General features: G+C 33.4%; 1 protein-coding gene across 15 annotated transcripts in view; it reads right to left on the bottom strand.

Annotated features, from left to right (window-relative positions):
* The window catches only part of STXBP5 (syntaxin binding protein 5), a 186,057-nt gene that overhangs the window by 112,242 nt on the left and 57,991 nt on the right, over nucleotides 1-15,824 (bottom strand). For 14 of the 15 annotated variants that reach the window (XR_007059202.1, XR_007059201.1, XR_007059203.1 and 11 more), the window contains exons 7-8: nucleotides 11,065-11,148; nucleotides 28-151 (exon numbers count right to left, since the gene is read on the bottom strand). Coding sequence is in view for 12 of the 15 variants with exons in the window: in XM_047418197.1 (XP_047274153.1) it covers nucleotides 28-151; nucleotides 11,065-11,148 (208 nt within the window). In the remaining 3 variants the exon portion in view is untranslated. Of the gene's footprint in view, nucleotides 1-27; nucleotides 152-11,064; nucleotides 11,149-12,125; nucleotides 13,119-15,824 lie in introns of those variants that run through there. The other variant, XM_047418200.1, reaches the window with a different exon arrangement.

Here is a 15,824-nt window from a genome sequence, read left to right as displayed (position 1 = left end):
TGGTATTTAAAATTGATGCATTCTTACCATGTGGAGTGATTGTCTGTACTGGTTTAGCAGGGGACCTTACATTCCATATAGTCAAGGTGCCATCTGAATGACTGCAAATAAATTGTTTTCCTTCATGATGCCAAGCAACAGAGTGGATAGCCTATAGAAGGATGAAAAATACCATTTAAAAAATCTATTTAAACAGTAAACTATTTGTAAATGATCTCATCTATTAATTTTCATTTTTAACTTTTCTTTATTTCCTAAGGTTAACATGTGAACTTAACATTTCCATAATAATTTGGCCCTCTTGTAATACAAATGAGATTTTATTTCTTCATATTAACACTGTTTTAATTCTCTGTACTTACTTTACTCCTTAAATCAGCATAAAGAAGGCATGATAGTGACATCTACGGACAAGTTCAGTGAAACAAAATGTTTTCTTACATTATTTTTAGCATAAACAATACCTAAACATAAATTACCAAATTATTACAACCAGTGTCCCAATAGAAAAACTAGTTGCAATGACAAGATTAGAATAAAATGTGTTAATTGACCATGATCCTAAGAGCCAAAATGTAGATTTGGAATTAAGATCAATACAAATGTTTCAGGTTGAGCTATAAGACATGTTCCTCATCTCTCACAGTAATTACTGAGGCAATTTTTAATCTCAGGGGACACTGTTCTGATAAGAAATTTATTTTGTACTTCTGGGTCGCTTAAAAACTATCTGGAAAATATTTTTATATCACCAAAGTATGATACCCCTCATTTTTTTGCTCTAATATTATTTCAATTTTGGTATGTAAAAAAAACTTTTTAAATCACTCTCCCATGCGTCCTTTGAATTATTTCTTTTCAACTCAAGTTGATACAATTTTAGTTCTTAATGGTCAACTGACTTAAAGCCACCCTACTGGAATGCAAGAATTGCAGAGTATAGCACAAAAATCGTATAACTGAAACTCAAAACTTCTGTCACATATAAAGCCAACATTTTCTATCATGTCATCTATTTATTTGAGTTCTTTCTATACTTATAAATTTAAGCTAAATATTATAAAATATCTTGGTATGAAATCAGATGGATACAGATAATCAGCTATACTTCTAAATGACAATATTTAATACAATGTTTTTTATTCAAAGTACAGATGCTCCTCAATTTACGATGAAGTCATACCCTGATAAACTCATCATAAGTCAAAAATATCATAAGTCAAAAATGCATTTAATGCTACCAACACAGCAGATGATCCCTTACTTACGATGGTTCAATATGCAATTTGTCAGCTTTAAGATAGTACAAAAGCACTATACATTCAGTAGAAACCATAATCGATTCTAATTCCTAAGGAGCTCCTTTACTTATTACGTCTTGGTAAACCAATTGTAAAGTCAAAAAAATCATAAGTTGAAGAAATATTGTAAGTCAGGGACCATCTGCATCTCTTACAAAATTCTAAATAAAATCTTAAAGCAATAATAAACTGACATATACATATGACATTTTGAAAACTCAATTTTAAAATAAGCAATCCCTTAGTAGCCTTTACAAGTAAACTTATTTCTGCAAAAACATGAGCAGTGCTAAAAAGCTATTTAAATGTTTTTTAAAAAATTCATAAGGGAAAATACAAAAGAGGTCTATAGTGCTATCTGGAACCTATAGATAAAAACATCTTAATAGTATCATGTATAAATGTATATCATGTATATAAATATGTATCATATGTAGAGAAATACTTCTACTTTGCTAAAGAAAACAATGTGTATCTTTGTTTAAAAGTGACTCCTATTTATAAAATATTATTAAATTATTAGGCATTCCAAAAACAAATACTACCTAATTACTGGAACCAGTGGTTCACAATTATTTTGGACAACAGAAACAAATAACAGAAAACACCCCACAAAAAAGCAAAGAAATAACCAAATATGGACATGCAACAAACATGCAGTATTTACTTATACAATTTTCTATATGCAAATCCAACTTAATACAAGACGTGTTTTCTAATACTAAGTATATATGTAGTGCATAGTATTACAAGTATTTAAAAATATGTATACAGTATCTACCATGCATAAAACATACAATTTATACTTTTTCTTTAGTATTCTTGAGAAAATGACAGAGAAATTTACGTAAACAAAGTGAGAAAATCAAAACTCACCAGCAAATCTGACACATGCTCAAAATCAGAAGCAAGGTGGGTTAGGAGCAAATCTGAATAATTCATGGGAGAAGATATGAGATATAATGTAGGAAACATAAATTGGGGTTGATAAATTTTGTGTGTGAATTGGCTTATCTGTTTTTCCAAGGAGAAGATATAAAATTTCCAGGTGATTAAGAATATTTACTTGTTTATGGCCAGGCACGGTGGCTCAGGCCTGTAATCCCAGCACTTTGGGAGGCCAAGGCGGGTGGATCATGAGGTCAGGAGATCAAGACCATCCTGGCTAACACGGTGAAACCCCGTCTCTACCAAAAAATACAAAAAATTAGCCAGGCGTGTGGTGGGTACCTGTAGTCCCAGGTACTCGGGAGGCTGAGGCAGGAGAATGGCGTGAACCCGGGAGGTGGAGCTTGCAGTGAGCTGAGACTGTGCCACTGCACTCCAGCCTGGGCAACAGAGCGAGACTCCATCTCAAAAAAAAAAAAAAAAAAAAAAAAAAGAATATTTACTTGTTTAAAAAAACCTGAAAATTATACATATATATGAATAACAGGATCATGTTAGAAAGAGGAATAAAGGACAGATGAATGGAAAATAGAACACAATAAATAAAAGACATACAAAAGCCATGGAGGACAAGATGAATCCAGGGTAGAGAAAAAAAAGTGAAGACAGAATGAACGCAGATGATATAGCTGTTCCCATAATCCACAAAGCAACAGTGCATGCAATTCTAAAAGCTCTTTAAAAGATGTAGTATCTGACAAAAATCGTAACTATGAGAAGGTTCATGAAGGTAATTAAGAGTCTGACATCAGTATTTTCATTTATGATAAAATTAAAGAAAAAACAAAAAGCACTGCCTACTGTGACACATTTTTCAAAAGGAGTAATATTTAATTATTAGGGTTTGGCAAAAGTAGTACCTATGATCCTTCTGCTATTCTTATTAGACAAGACAGCATCTTGTAGAATAATTTTCTAGGAAGACAAAACAGGCTAACTGCTTACCTATCAAATTTTACATTCACTAACTCAAAATTGTATGGAAACTGAATAAATTCTCTACATACTGGTTTTGCAAACTCATCAGTATTATTAGAATCATTTCACAGTAAATGTATATATTAATAAATCCTAATCCAGCTGCTCTTACATTACACATATACTAATTAATATTCTTAATTTTAATTATTTTAAAATAATTTCTTTTCTCATAGATGTTATTTTAACATTCTATTCAAAAGCTGCATTGATTCCCAATGTAACTATCTATTATTGTCAAAGCCCTCAGAAAAATGCCAAAAAATGACAAAAGAAAATGTGTAATGTAGACTTTCATTTAAAATTACAACATTTGCAAATACATGAAAATATTGAAAATACTCTGTAGTTTTATTATTCTTATATAATCAAATAAAGTACATGCTTATAGCACATATGATTTCTTACACATATAAATAATACATTAAATTGTACAGCTTTTGTCCTAGTATTTTAAACTTGTGAACTTTTCAATATAGTTACACCATAGAAGGGAGACAACCATAATACTATATAATTAAATGAGACAATTATTTAAAAATACATTTTGTAAGGTAGTTGATAAAAGTTATTATACATTGGACATCAAATGATTTATAGCTTTTTTTCCTTTCTCTCTAAAGATTATAAATAGTTATAAACTGAAACCACTGCCCTTTCCATTAAAAATAACCTCCCCCAACCCCATTGCACTCCAGCCTGGGCAACAGAGTAAGACTGCCTCTAAAGAAGAATGAATGAATGAATGAATGAATGCATAATCCAAGTGGAACTTTCTTCCATTATTTTGAAAATGTGACCAAATTATTCATTGTTTTAAGGACTGTTTTACCTTTGGGAAAGTGTATTTGTGTGTGTGCATGTGTATGTTTGTAAAAATAAGCAGAAAATAAGCTGACTTAAAAGCACCAGTCTAAATATGGGAGAAAAAACCCTTAAGGGAGAATAAATGCTTCCATGAATATACACAGTGCAAAAAAAAATTCATTTAAAGCTGTTATGATTCCTGTGCTGTGAGCTGCAAACATATTATTTCAACTTTTTTTTTTTTTTTTGCCAGAGTCTCGCTCTGTCGCCCAGGCTGGAGTGCAGTGGCGCCATCTCGTCTCACTGCAAGCTCTGCCTCCCGGGTTCATGCCATTCTTCTGCCTCAGCCTCCCGAGTAGCTGGGACTACAGGTGCCCACCACCACACCTGGCTAGTTTTTTTGTATTTTTAGTAGAGATGGGGTTTCACCCTGTTACCCAGGATGGTCTCGATCTCCTGACCTCGTGATCTGCCCACCTTGGCCTCCCAAAGTGCTGGGATTACAGGCGTGAGCCACCACGCCCGGCATCAACGTTTTTTTTAAAAGGCTTCTGATGGTCTTGAGACTTAAATGTGCCCAGAGAGCTAGCAAAGCACAAATTATTGTTTTGTCATATTTTACTACCAATATTTCTGATGCTTCTCAATCTACCAGGAAAAACCAACATGAAACCAAAATACAAAAGTCACTGACAGATGACCCTAGACATATGACAAAGAATAATCATAAAATAAAGAAATTCATAAGTATTATTGTCTTAAAATATCAGTAATACTGCACTTCTTTCCTGCCACACTGATTACTACAAAAGGAATATTGATACTTTATTTTTAGAAACAGGGTCTTGCTCTGTCACCAGGGCTGGAATGCAGTGTTGTGATCATAGCTCACTGCTGCCTTGAACTCCAGGGCTTAACCCATCCTCCCACTTCAGCCTCTTAAGTAGCTAGGACTACAGGTACATGCTACCACTACCAGGCCTAGCTAATTTTTTTTTTTTTACTTTTTTAGAGGCAGGGTCTTGCTATGTTGCCCATGCCGATCTCAATCTCCTGGCCTCAACTGATCCTTCTGCTCCTGCCTCTCAAAGAGCTGGGATTACAGACATGTGCCTTTGCACCTGGCCAATACTTGATATTTTAATACATCATAGCCTAAAAAAAATGGAATGTCCATTAAAGAGATAAAATTTTATATAGATGAAGTATCATCTGTAGAAAATATCTGTAAAATATTAAGAATGCTATCCAAGCACACAAAATCTATCATTGAGACACAACCAGGGGAGAGTAGAGTAGAGTTTGTCAATTAAAAAAATAATAACTATGGTTACAAAGCAACAAAAGCTCAAGGGTGCAAAGATACATTTCTGTTCCCATTACTCCTACCCATCTGAATCACCCTCAAGAGATTAAATAAATAATTAAAGCTGTACTGAGTAGAACTTGAATTATATTAGAAATGTTCTAAATTGTTATGTCATTTAATACATTTGTGCCTGTGTAATAAAAATGAATTTGAATACAGTAATATACCACTGAATAGAACATAAATATTAGGGGAGGGGAAAGGTAGTATTTTGTCAAAATCTTAAATTTTTAACCCTCACTAGTGAGGAAGAATTATGCCTATAATAATTTCTTGAATATCTGAAATTGTACACCTGGCAAAAATGGCACTGAGAATCAAATTCTATGACAGAATAGCACAAACTCATGGAAACAAAGCCAGAAATTTTTACTCAGTTTACATTACAAGTTAATTTAGAAGTTAGAATTTATACCTAACTTAACACCGTCATTTAGAACACATGATTTTCATTTTGAATATTAACGTGTGTTAAGAATAAGTTTTATGACTTAGGCATCTGTGTTCACCAAGGATACTGGTCTGTAGTCTCCTTATAATTTTTTTTCCAGTTTTGTTAAAGGGTAATGCTTGCCTCATGAAGTGAGTTGCAAAGTGTGCCCTTCTCTTCCATTTTTAAGAAGAGTCTAAGTACAACAGGTATTATTTGGTAAAATTCACCAGCAAGCTTTCTGAGCCTGGTGTTTTCTTTGTGGGAAACATTTTCATTACAACTTTATTCTTAAATTACAGAGCTACTTAGATTAAGCATTTCTTTCAGAGTGAGCGTCGGTACTTCCAAGAAATTTGGGATCTTTCAAGGAAATTCTCCATTTCATCTAAATTGCTGGATTTATTGGCATTAAGTACATATTTCCTTATCAGCCCCTCTGTATTTCTGTAGAAACTGGAATGATACCCTTTTTCACCTCCATAATGGGTAATCTGCGTCTTTTTTTTCCTCACCACTCTGACTATATGTTTATCAATTTTATTGATCTTCACACAAATCCAGCTTTTAATTTTATCACTTTTCTCTATTTTTCTGTTAGCTATTTCATTGATTTCGGCTCTTTATTATTTCAGTTCTTCAGCTTACTATAGATTTAATCTGCTCTTTTTCTTCTAGTTTCTTGTGGTGAAAGCTGAGGCCACTCGCTTGAAACCATTCTTGTTTTCTAATACAAAGCATTTAATGCTATAATGGATACTTTAGCTGCATCCTACAGGACTTGGTAAATCGTTTTTTTCAGTTCAAAATACTTTAATTTTCCTTATGTTTTCTTCTTTGACTCATGGGTTATTTAGAAATATGTTGTTTCCCTTTTCAATATTTATAGATTTTCCATCTATATAACTGATTTCTAATTTTAGCATAGTAAAATAACATTTTATATGAGTTTAACCTTTTAAAATTAATATTGAGATTGATTTTATGACATTAAATATAGCATGTCTTGGTGATATTCCGTGTATAGCTGAAAAGAATGTCTACTCTGTTGGTGGGTGAAACACTCTGATACCTACTTGGTTGATATTAATATAGTCATTTTGGTTTCCTTTTGATTACTGCTAATATTACTTTTTCCATCTATCTTTTTTTCCAACATATCTGTATCTTTAAAAGTGGGTTTCTTACAGACAGTATGTGGTTAGATCTTGCTCTTTTATCCAATATGATAATTGCTGTCTTTTAAGGGGTGCTTAAACTATTAATCTGATTATTGACATAGCTGGATTTAAATCTACCATCTTGCTGTTTGTTCACTGTTGCTTCCATCTATTCTTTGTTCCCTTCTACCTTCCTCTGGATTGAATATTTTTAAAATCTCAATTTATTTCCTATTTAGCTTAACTCTCTGAGTCGCTGCTGTTGTTGCTTTGGTATTTCCTTTAGGATTTACAATACATATCTTTATCATAGTCTACCATCACATAATATTATGCTACTTTATGTATAAAATAATAATCTATTAATGGTCCTCTGTCTTCTGACCATGTCTTCCGACCATTGTGCTATTGTTGTCTGTTTGTTAACTCTATGTATGCCAAAAATCCTACATTTTTATTATATTTGGCTTGGATAATTAATGATCTCTTAGATTTAGAAAATAAGAAAGTTTTTATATCTACCACATATTTGCCATGTCTGGAGTCTTTCATTCTTTTGAATAGATCCAAATTTCCATCTCATAACATTTGTCTTCTGCATGCAGGACTTCTTTTAACATATCTTATAGTTGAGGTCTGCAAGTGATTAATTCTTTCAATTTTTATGTCTATAAAAGTGTTTATTTTGCCTTTATTTTTGAAAAAAAAAATTTCACCAGGTATAAAGTTCTAGGTTGACAAATTTTTCTTTCAGTACTGTGAAGGTGGTATTCCACTGTGTTCTGGCTTACATTGCATCTAAGAAAACAAAATTTGCTGTAATTTTTTTTTTTTTTTTTTTTGACAGAGTCTCACTCTGTCGCCCAGGGTGGAGTGCAGTGGTGTGATTTCAGTTCACTGCAAGCTCCGTCTCCCAGGTTCAAGCCATTCTCCTGCCTCGGCCTCCCAAGTAGCTGGGACTACAGGCGCCTGCCACCACGCCCAGCTAATTTTTTGTATTTTTTAGTAGAGACGAGGTTTCACCATGTTAGCTAGGATGGTCTCGATCTCCTGACCTCGTGATCTGCCCGCCTTGGCCTCCCAAAGTGCTGGGATTACAGGAATGAGCCACCGCACCCGGCCTCTGCTGTCATTTTTATTTTTGCTCCCCTGTACTTAATGTGGCTTTTAAAATTCCTCTAATTGTTTCTCATAATCTTCTCTATTACTAGTTTGTAGGAATTGAAGATTGTGCTTTTATGTAGTTTGTTTCGTGTTTCTTCTGCCTAGAGTTCATTCAACTCTTTAAATCTCTGAGTATATAGTTTTCATCAAATTTGAAACTTTTGGTCATTGCTTCTTGAAACATACTTCCTCTCCACTCTCCTCCGAGGATTCAAAATACACATATTAGTCTGCTTGAAGTCGTACCACAGTTCACTAATGATCTGTCCTTTTTTCCTCCATTCTTTCACATCAAGTAGCTTCTACTGCTATTTCCTGAAGCGTATTAATCCTTTGGCAGTACTGTTCAGAGTATTTTTCACCTTATTTTATCATTCATCTGTAAAAAATCCACTTGTGTGATTTTTGCCTTCCATGTCTTTTTTCAACATGTTCATACTTTCATCTACCTTCTTAAGCATATGGAGTCTATTTAATAATACTTGTTTTAATATTTTTGATGCCAATGGTATCATCTTGTCATTTCTGAGTCTGTTTCTATTTTCATTTTCTTCTCATTATGGGTTGTATATCCTGGCTTTTTGCATACTTCATATATTTCTATTTGGATGCTAGACATTGTAAAATTTATATCGGGCTACTATTCATATTCTTCTAAATGTTTTTGGGTGTTTTTCCTAGGATGTAGTTACGTACTTAAAAACAGTTTAGTCCTTTCAGTCCTTTCAAAGTTTGCATTCAAGATTTGTTAGGATGAACTTAAGCCAGCCTTTAGTATAGGGCTAGTTTAGTTCCACCACTGCAACAACAGCTTTCTGAATACTCTTTCTCATACCCTGTGTATTACAAAGTTTCTCTACTCTGTTGGGAATGTGAACTATTCCCAGTCCTGTCTGTGCTACAGAAATGGTTCTACTGTTTCCTTTTTGGTGGATCTTATCCAAGCCTTATACCCATGCAATAATCAGTATTCAACTGAAGACTCAGGGCAGGGGTCCTTTTGTAGACTTCTACAACTCTCTTTCTAAGCTCTTTGCTCTCTAATACCTTGCCTTCTAAGCTGCAGATGTCTTAGTTTCCCCAGTTTCCCAACTCTGACTTTTCAACTCAGGGAGACTTCTCAGCTTCCACCTAGGTTCCCTCTTCATGTTCCAAGAACTGGAAAATCTCTTCAGGCCATTAGCTAAAGCAATTGAGGGGTTTACCTTCTTTGTTTCTCCTCTCTAAAAAATACTGTTCTACATGACCTGCTGTCTAACTGCTGAAAACTGTTGTTCAATATATCCTGTCCAGTTTCTTTGTTTAAAGCAAGGAGGTAAACTAGTCCCTGTGACTCCATAATGGCTCAAGCCTAGATCACTATTTAAAATAATAAGCAAAACCAAAATGTTCAATTTTTAAAATCTGCTTTCATCTGCAGACCACAACTACAGATCACAACTACACAGAAATGATAGGAACTGTATTTATTCAAAACATGCTTGTTTAATTTGAAGATCCTGACTAGTGAGCAGCAAAAAGTATACAGTCATAAAAACAAAGGGAATTCCCTTTCAGTCATGCCTAAAAAGATAATGTACAAACATGTGCAAAGTATTCAAATGTTGCTATAATTACTCAATAGGTTCTGATGTCTCAGTAACTGAACATACCAATATGATTATGACTAAGATTATGATGTATTTTATCTTAAACAACCACTTACACATTTCCTAGATATAGCTCTACTCACTGAATTGGAAACCATGAACACTCCTGATGTCTAAATTATGGCCACCAGACATGGCACTGAAAGAAGTCATAGTTCCATAGAAAAATACCTTATTCTAAATTTGATTCAGAAATATACAGATTAGTAGGGAGGAGGTACACTGACCAAAGTTGGGATAATGTGAAAAGCAACAATAACTTCAGTGGATTGAAGTATATCAAATATGTTTAAGTTGTTGAGCACACAGTGAAACTAAAAGTCAGAATAAATTGGTCATCATGGAAACCATTAGAGAACAACCCCTTAAGATGAATACTAAAATAAAGGAAAAGAACCACATATTTATCCTGCCTTTGCTATATGAACTGTCCTATTATATAAACAAATAGCAGATAAGAGGAAGGTTCTCTTTACTGAAGTGACCTACATAATAAGTAGAGAAGGAAAGACAGAATTAGAATGTCTCCTATTTTGCAACTACTATACAGTAACAGATCTCGGCCTCAACCACCACTGGCTTCCAACATCTGAAATAGACACTAAGGTTCCACCAGCTAAATGAGTATCAGTATCATCTATGAAGTAGTCTTGCCAAAATGAAAAATAAACCGGCATTTGATCAAGCCTCAGTAAATTATCCAATTTATAGGAAATCTGAGGGCAAAAACAAAAAACAAAAAACAAAAAAACATGTTAAAGACAATGGGGATGCAGCCAGAAAAAGCCAGCATCTGGAAGACTCTATCTTCAACAAATAAATGCCAAAAAAGGAGAGGTAAGGTAAGGAAGGGAAGTGAGGAGCAAAAGGAGAGAAAAGACTTATCTGTCAATCACAATTAATTCTTACTGGTTCTTAAAGTGGATTATAAATGTCTATAGTATACTATCATTCGTACAAAAGAAAAAATAAGATATATTTATGAATTTGCTTGTAAATGCACAGTGTCTCTTTGGAAGAACATGAGAGAAACTGGTAACATGCTACCTGTAAGGAAACTAGATAACCAAATGGCAGGTGGGAAGAAGATTTTTGTTATCTTTTGAATTGTGTGAACATATTATCTATTGTAAAAAATAAATTGTGTATTACTGCAATTACAAAGTTTGCCTAAAGTAAAATTACCAATTAAGTTTTTAGAGAAACTGCTTTATATGAGAGAAATGACCATAGCTTTTACTAGCAAAAATAATATTACCTCATCATATGTGTATCTGTAGTCGGCTTTCTTTGATTTGAGGTCCCATAAAACTACTGTTCCAGATTCAAAGCCAATCAAAAGCTGTGATAAAAGAAAAAGGCACATTACCTAGGAATGATATCAATTATAAAACATTTATTTGCTGACAATGAAAATAACTACTATCATTCAAATGCGTTGAGTATAAATGTATAATATAAACAAACATCTGCATTGCTAATTAGTAATCACGTAAATGACAAATGAGAACACTGTATGGCATATTTATATGTCTTTGATGATTAGGGACTCAACATACAACTGACTTTTGAAAACAAAAACAGTACCATTTTGAAGTCTTTTCAAAACTTTTGTATGTATTTTCAAGTTTACAAACTTTTCAAATTCTACACACTATGAGGTAATCTCATCTATTCCAACTATATATTGATTAGTTCCAAATCATACCCAGCCTACATCCCTCTGGTGAGATTCAGACACATAATTCCAGTGGCCACATCTCCACTTATCTACACAAAAGCCTCAAAGTAAATGTGCCCCAAACTGAATTAATTATATTCTCTAATCTGCTTCTCTGGAATTCCCTGTTGCAGTGTCTCTCACCATTCCTTATCACGTCTATTCGGTGGCACCAGCTAGAAACCCGGAGCTCATTCTTAACTAGTCTCTCCTCCAACAGGTAAAATCACCATGTAAATTTAAGTTACATCCTATTATCTAATTTACTTCTCTCCATCTCTAGGGCCTCTTCCCTGGTTCAAGACACAAAGATTCCTTTTCGGGTCTCCTTGACTCCAGTCTTGCTCCTATTTTAACCCATTTCTTATTGTAGCTAGAGTTAAGAGTTCTAGAATACAAACCGAACAGGGTAATGTATGCTTCTGTTTAAAACTTTTAAATGCCACACCATTATTTTTAGGATAAATTGCAAATTCAGTAATATGACCTACAAGTTCCATCATGGTATGAGCTCTGTTTACCTCTCCAGTTCCATCCCTTACCATACCATGGCCACTCAATACATTACAGTATATTCTTAAGTTCATATTCTCTCTTACCTTTGAACCTTTGTACATGCTGCCTCGCTACCTGGGCCACTCCATTTGAATGTCATCCTTTTTGCCTGACTAGTCCTTCTCATCTTTCAGATGTCATTTTAGTGATCGTTTCCTCTGGGAAGCCTTCTGTGACCTACCAAATGTAAGTCAATACCCTCCCTATGTGCTCCAATAACACTTTGTACTTTTTTTTTTTAATTCGAAGGATCACCACACAATATAATAATGGACTTTTCCTTATTTGAATTATCGTGCAGTCTGTAAAACCGGGATATCGGGGCAAGGATTAGTTTTTATCTTGTTTACCACAATACCTCTAACGTAACACACAGGGCCAGGTATGTTATAAATACTTCTTATGAAATGCATCTATTTCAGAATGGAATGCATGTTCCTGCCTCACAAACTATGTACGCTGCCCACAGTGTACCACAGTGTACCCCCAGGCCCCACCTCAGTATTTTCCAAATCTCAGTATGAGATTTCCTCTGCTTAAAACCTCCTCCCCTTTCATTCAATAAGCAATCCTCTACTAATATTTTAAGTCTAAATTCAGTGTTGCTTCCTGGTTAAGTCTACCCAGTTCCTCTAGACAAATTAAGATGCTCCTTTTCTTAAACTAGTACCATGCATTTTCATCTATATGTCTCTAATATCTAATACACTTCCTAATACATAGTAGACACACAATAAATATTTGTTTAATAATTAGAAAAATGATTAGTCTATATCTGTTTGGGTAATCTGGGGATATAAACAAAATTTGGGCAGAACCAGTAATTTTAATAGGACAAATTTAGAAGATTTCAGAGTACAGGGGCAGCTGGAGGGACTAACTATCAAAACTAACAAAATAAGTTTTCCTACTTTAGTACAGAATACAGTCAATTTTTCTAACCTTATCTCTTCTTTCCTAGGCAATCTGAGATACATACACCTTTTGGAAAAAAATGGTATTTGTTTCCTCTCTCTTTTCCCAGTCTTTTCAAATATCTTGGACATGTGATACAGCATTTGAGAATAAGGAAAGAGAAGAAAAAGAATAAAATGTAAGGGTTGATATACACTGTAAACAGCACTGCACTGCTTAGGACCTAAGTAACCTGAGTTCTAGTATTAAATCTGCCACTTAATAGCCATATAACTTTAAGGAAATAATTTTATCTATCCAGACCTTAATAACTTAAGAGGGTTAAACTTTAACCTCTCTAGCCAGCTCTAGTATTCTAAGGATATTAGAAATATGTGACAACAGGTTAGAGTTTTATGCCCATAATCTTCCAGCTTTTCAATTCCTTTCTTTACAAAAGCAAGAGAATAATAAATATTTAAAAATAGAAAACTAAAGATAGAGTACTTAATTAAAATTGGAAATTCTTCAATGCTTATTCCTACTAGAATCTTTTATAACCCATAGAGATGTTAATTAGCTTACATACTAATGACTAATTCCCGTCTAATTTTTCTCTTTGAAAAAGCATTAGTGTGTATGTGGAATATGAATACATTTCTCTACAACGTATATAACCAGTCTGTATCTAGAAAGAAAGCTTAGCATAACAGAGAGTACTCCTGGGTTGAAATTAAAGAAATTGGTCTTCAAATCTCAGATCCGCCAAAGTCTAGCTCTGTATCTATGGAACACATAATGTCACCAAGTCTCTGCTTTATAATTTGTAAAGTAAGGGAAATTTCTAATTTACAATTTGTTGAAAAGATCAAATGAAATCGTGTATATAAAGTGGCAAGCACAGTGCTTGAAACATAGAATTAAATAAATGGTAGCTATTCCTATCATAAGTCTAACCTATCTAATGTCTAACCTTCCTTGGCCAAGACCTTCACTTAATGTGGCAGTATCCACCGGTAAGGTTAGCATTGAAGGAACTTGCCCTGTCACCTTACATGATTTTTCAATGACAAAATGTCTAGTTCTTTGCAAACAGGAAAGAGTCTAAAAGAAACCAAAGTTTAGATAATATAGTTTATTCTAGCACCCTAATATTTTTTAAATTTTATATATATATATAACTTATTTACTCCATCCTCATTATTTATGGAATGAATTATATATATAATCCATATAATTGTATATTGAGCAGTTGGTATTTTTATTATAAGTTAGATGCTATGGCAAATAGAAACCTGTATAAATATTACCTTTGTGCTTAACGAGTTTCAAATTCAGGGGAGCTGAGATATGCACACATTTCTAATACAAAGCATTATGTGATAAATACCATAAAATTTCATAACTAAAGTACTAATAAATGTGAAAGAAAGAAAAAGCATTTTCTGTCAGGATTATCAGGGAAGAAATCACAAACAAAAAATATTTAATCTGGGCCTTAAAGTGTAGATAGGAATTCAGCAGAGAGATGGAAAGAGAATTCCAAACAGAAGGACTCACTTAAACAAAGGTATGGAAACATCAAAGAGCAGTTCATAACTGAAAATACAACTATTTGCTTCAGCACAACATTCAGGTAAAGATATCCTGAAAAATAAGGAAATCTAGGGCTATATTTCAAGAAAAACTGATTTTATTTGTTAGATACTACAGACCCACTGAAAGCTTTGAAAGAGTAGAACACTAAGATTAAAATGGCAGTCTAAACCAGGCACAGTGGCTTGTGCTTATAATCCCAGCAGTTTGGGATTACAAGGCAGGAGGATCACTTGAGCCCAGGTGTTTAAGACTGGCTTAGGCAACATAGTGAGACTTTTAGGAAAATTAAAAAATTTAAAAAAAAAAAAAAAAAAAGAAAGAAAGAAAAAGAAAAGCAAAAGGCACAGGAAGAATTAAAATGACTTGATGACCAATTAGAGATGGAAAGGAAGTTTTGAACTCTCCTACCATGCCTCCCATTGAAAGGCTTGGCTTTTAAAACAATGCTATAATTATGACCTAACTCCAAACGGTCTAATTATCCTTTTGTTTACCCAATGGCAAACTAAGAGAACAGTGTTAAACAATATATCAGCTCAACCTCTCCCACAATTGAGGAAATGAAAACCCTGGTTAAACTCCTGCACAAAATCCAGAGGTTTCACTTTACTGATTTCTGATAGCAATAAACTTCCTGGTATTTACTTAGCTTAAGATCATAAAATTATATAGGTAGAAAAACATCATTATTAAATAGAACTATCTGAAAGACTGGTTTGAAATAGAAAATAAAAATTCATCCAAAAATATTTATTATTTTAAAAGATTTAAATAATCTAAATTAACAATAGCTAGATACTGATTATATGAAACTGGTTTCAGAGTATTAAAAATTAAATAACATTAAAAAAAACTCTACATTATTAATTAGAACTATTTATGACAAAAAATTTTAGGGGAGATGAGGTAACAAGACAACTATAACGTAAGGCAATCTGTGATTAGTGCTACAAAAATTGTACAAAGTGTTCAAAAGAAGCCAAAAACCAAAAGCAAACTTTTTACCAGGATTAACAGAAAATCAGGGAAAACAGTCTGAATAAGCCAAATATAAATTAATAACCTGTAATTATATGCATTAAGTTTGACTTATGTTTTAAGGTATTGTTTTGTCCTTTAAAATTGTAAATGATTCTAATTCTTTCATTTGTTCTTAATAATTAATAATAAGCATTAACTGTATATGATACACAACCTTCAATGGTAATCTCAATTTGTAATAAGTGTGATCCTGAAATAGCATGTTTATT

Source organism: Homo sapiens, chromosome 6 (assembly GCF_000001405.40).
Source record: "Homo sapiens chromosome 6, GRCh38.p14 Primary Assembly".
Lineage (NCBI taxonomy): Eukaryota > Metazoa > Chordata > Mammalia > Primates > Hominidae > Homo > Homo sapiens.
This window is presented reverse-complemented; position numbering and strand designations above follow the sequence as displayed.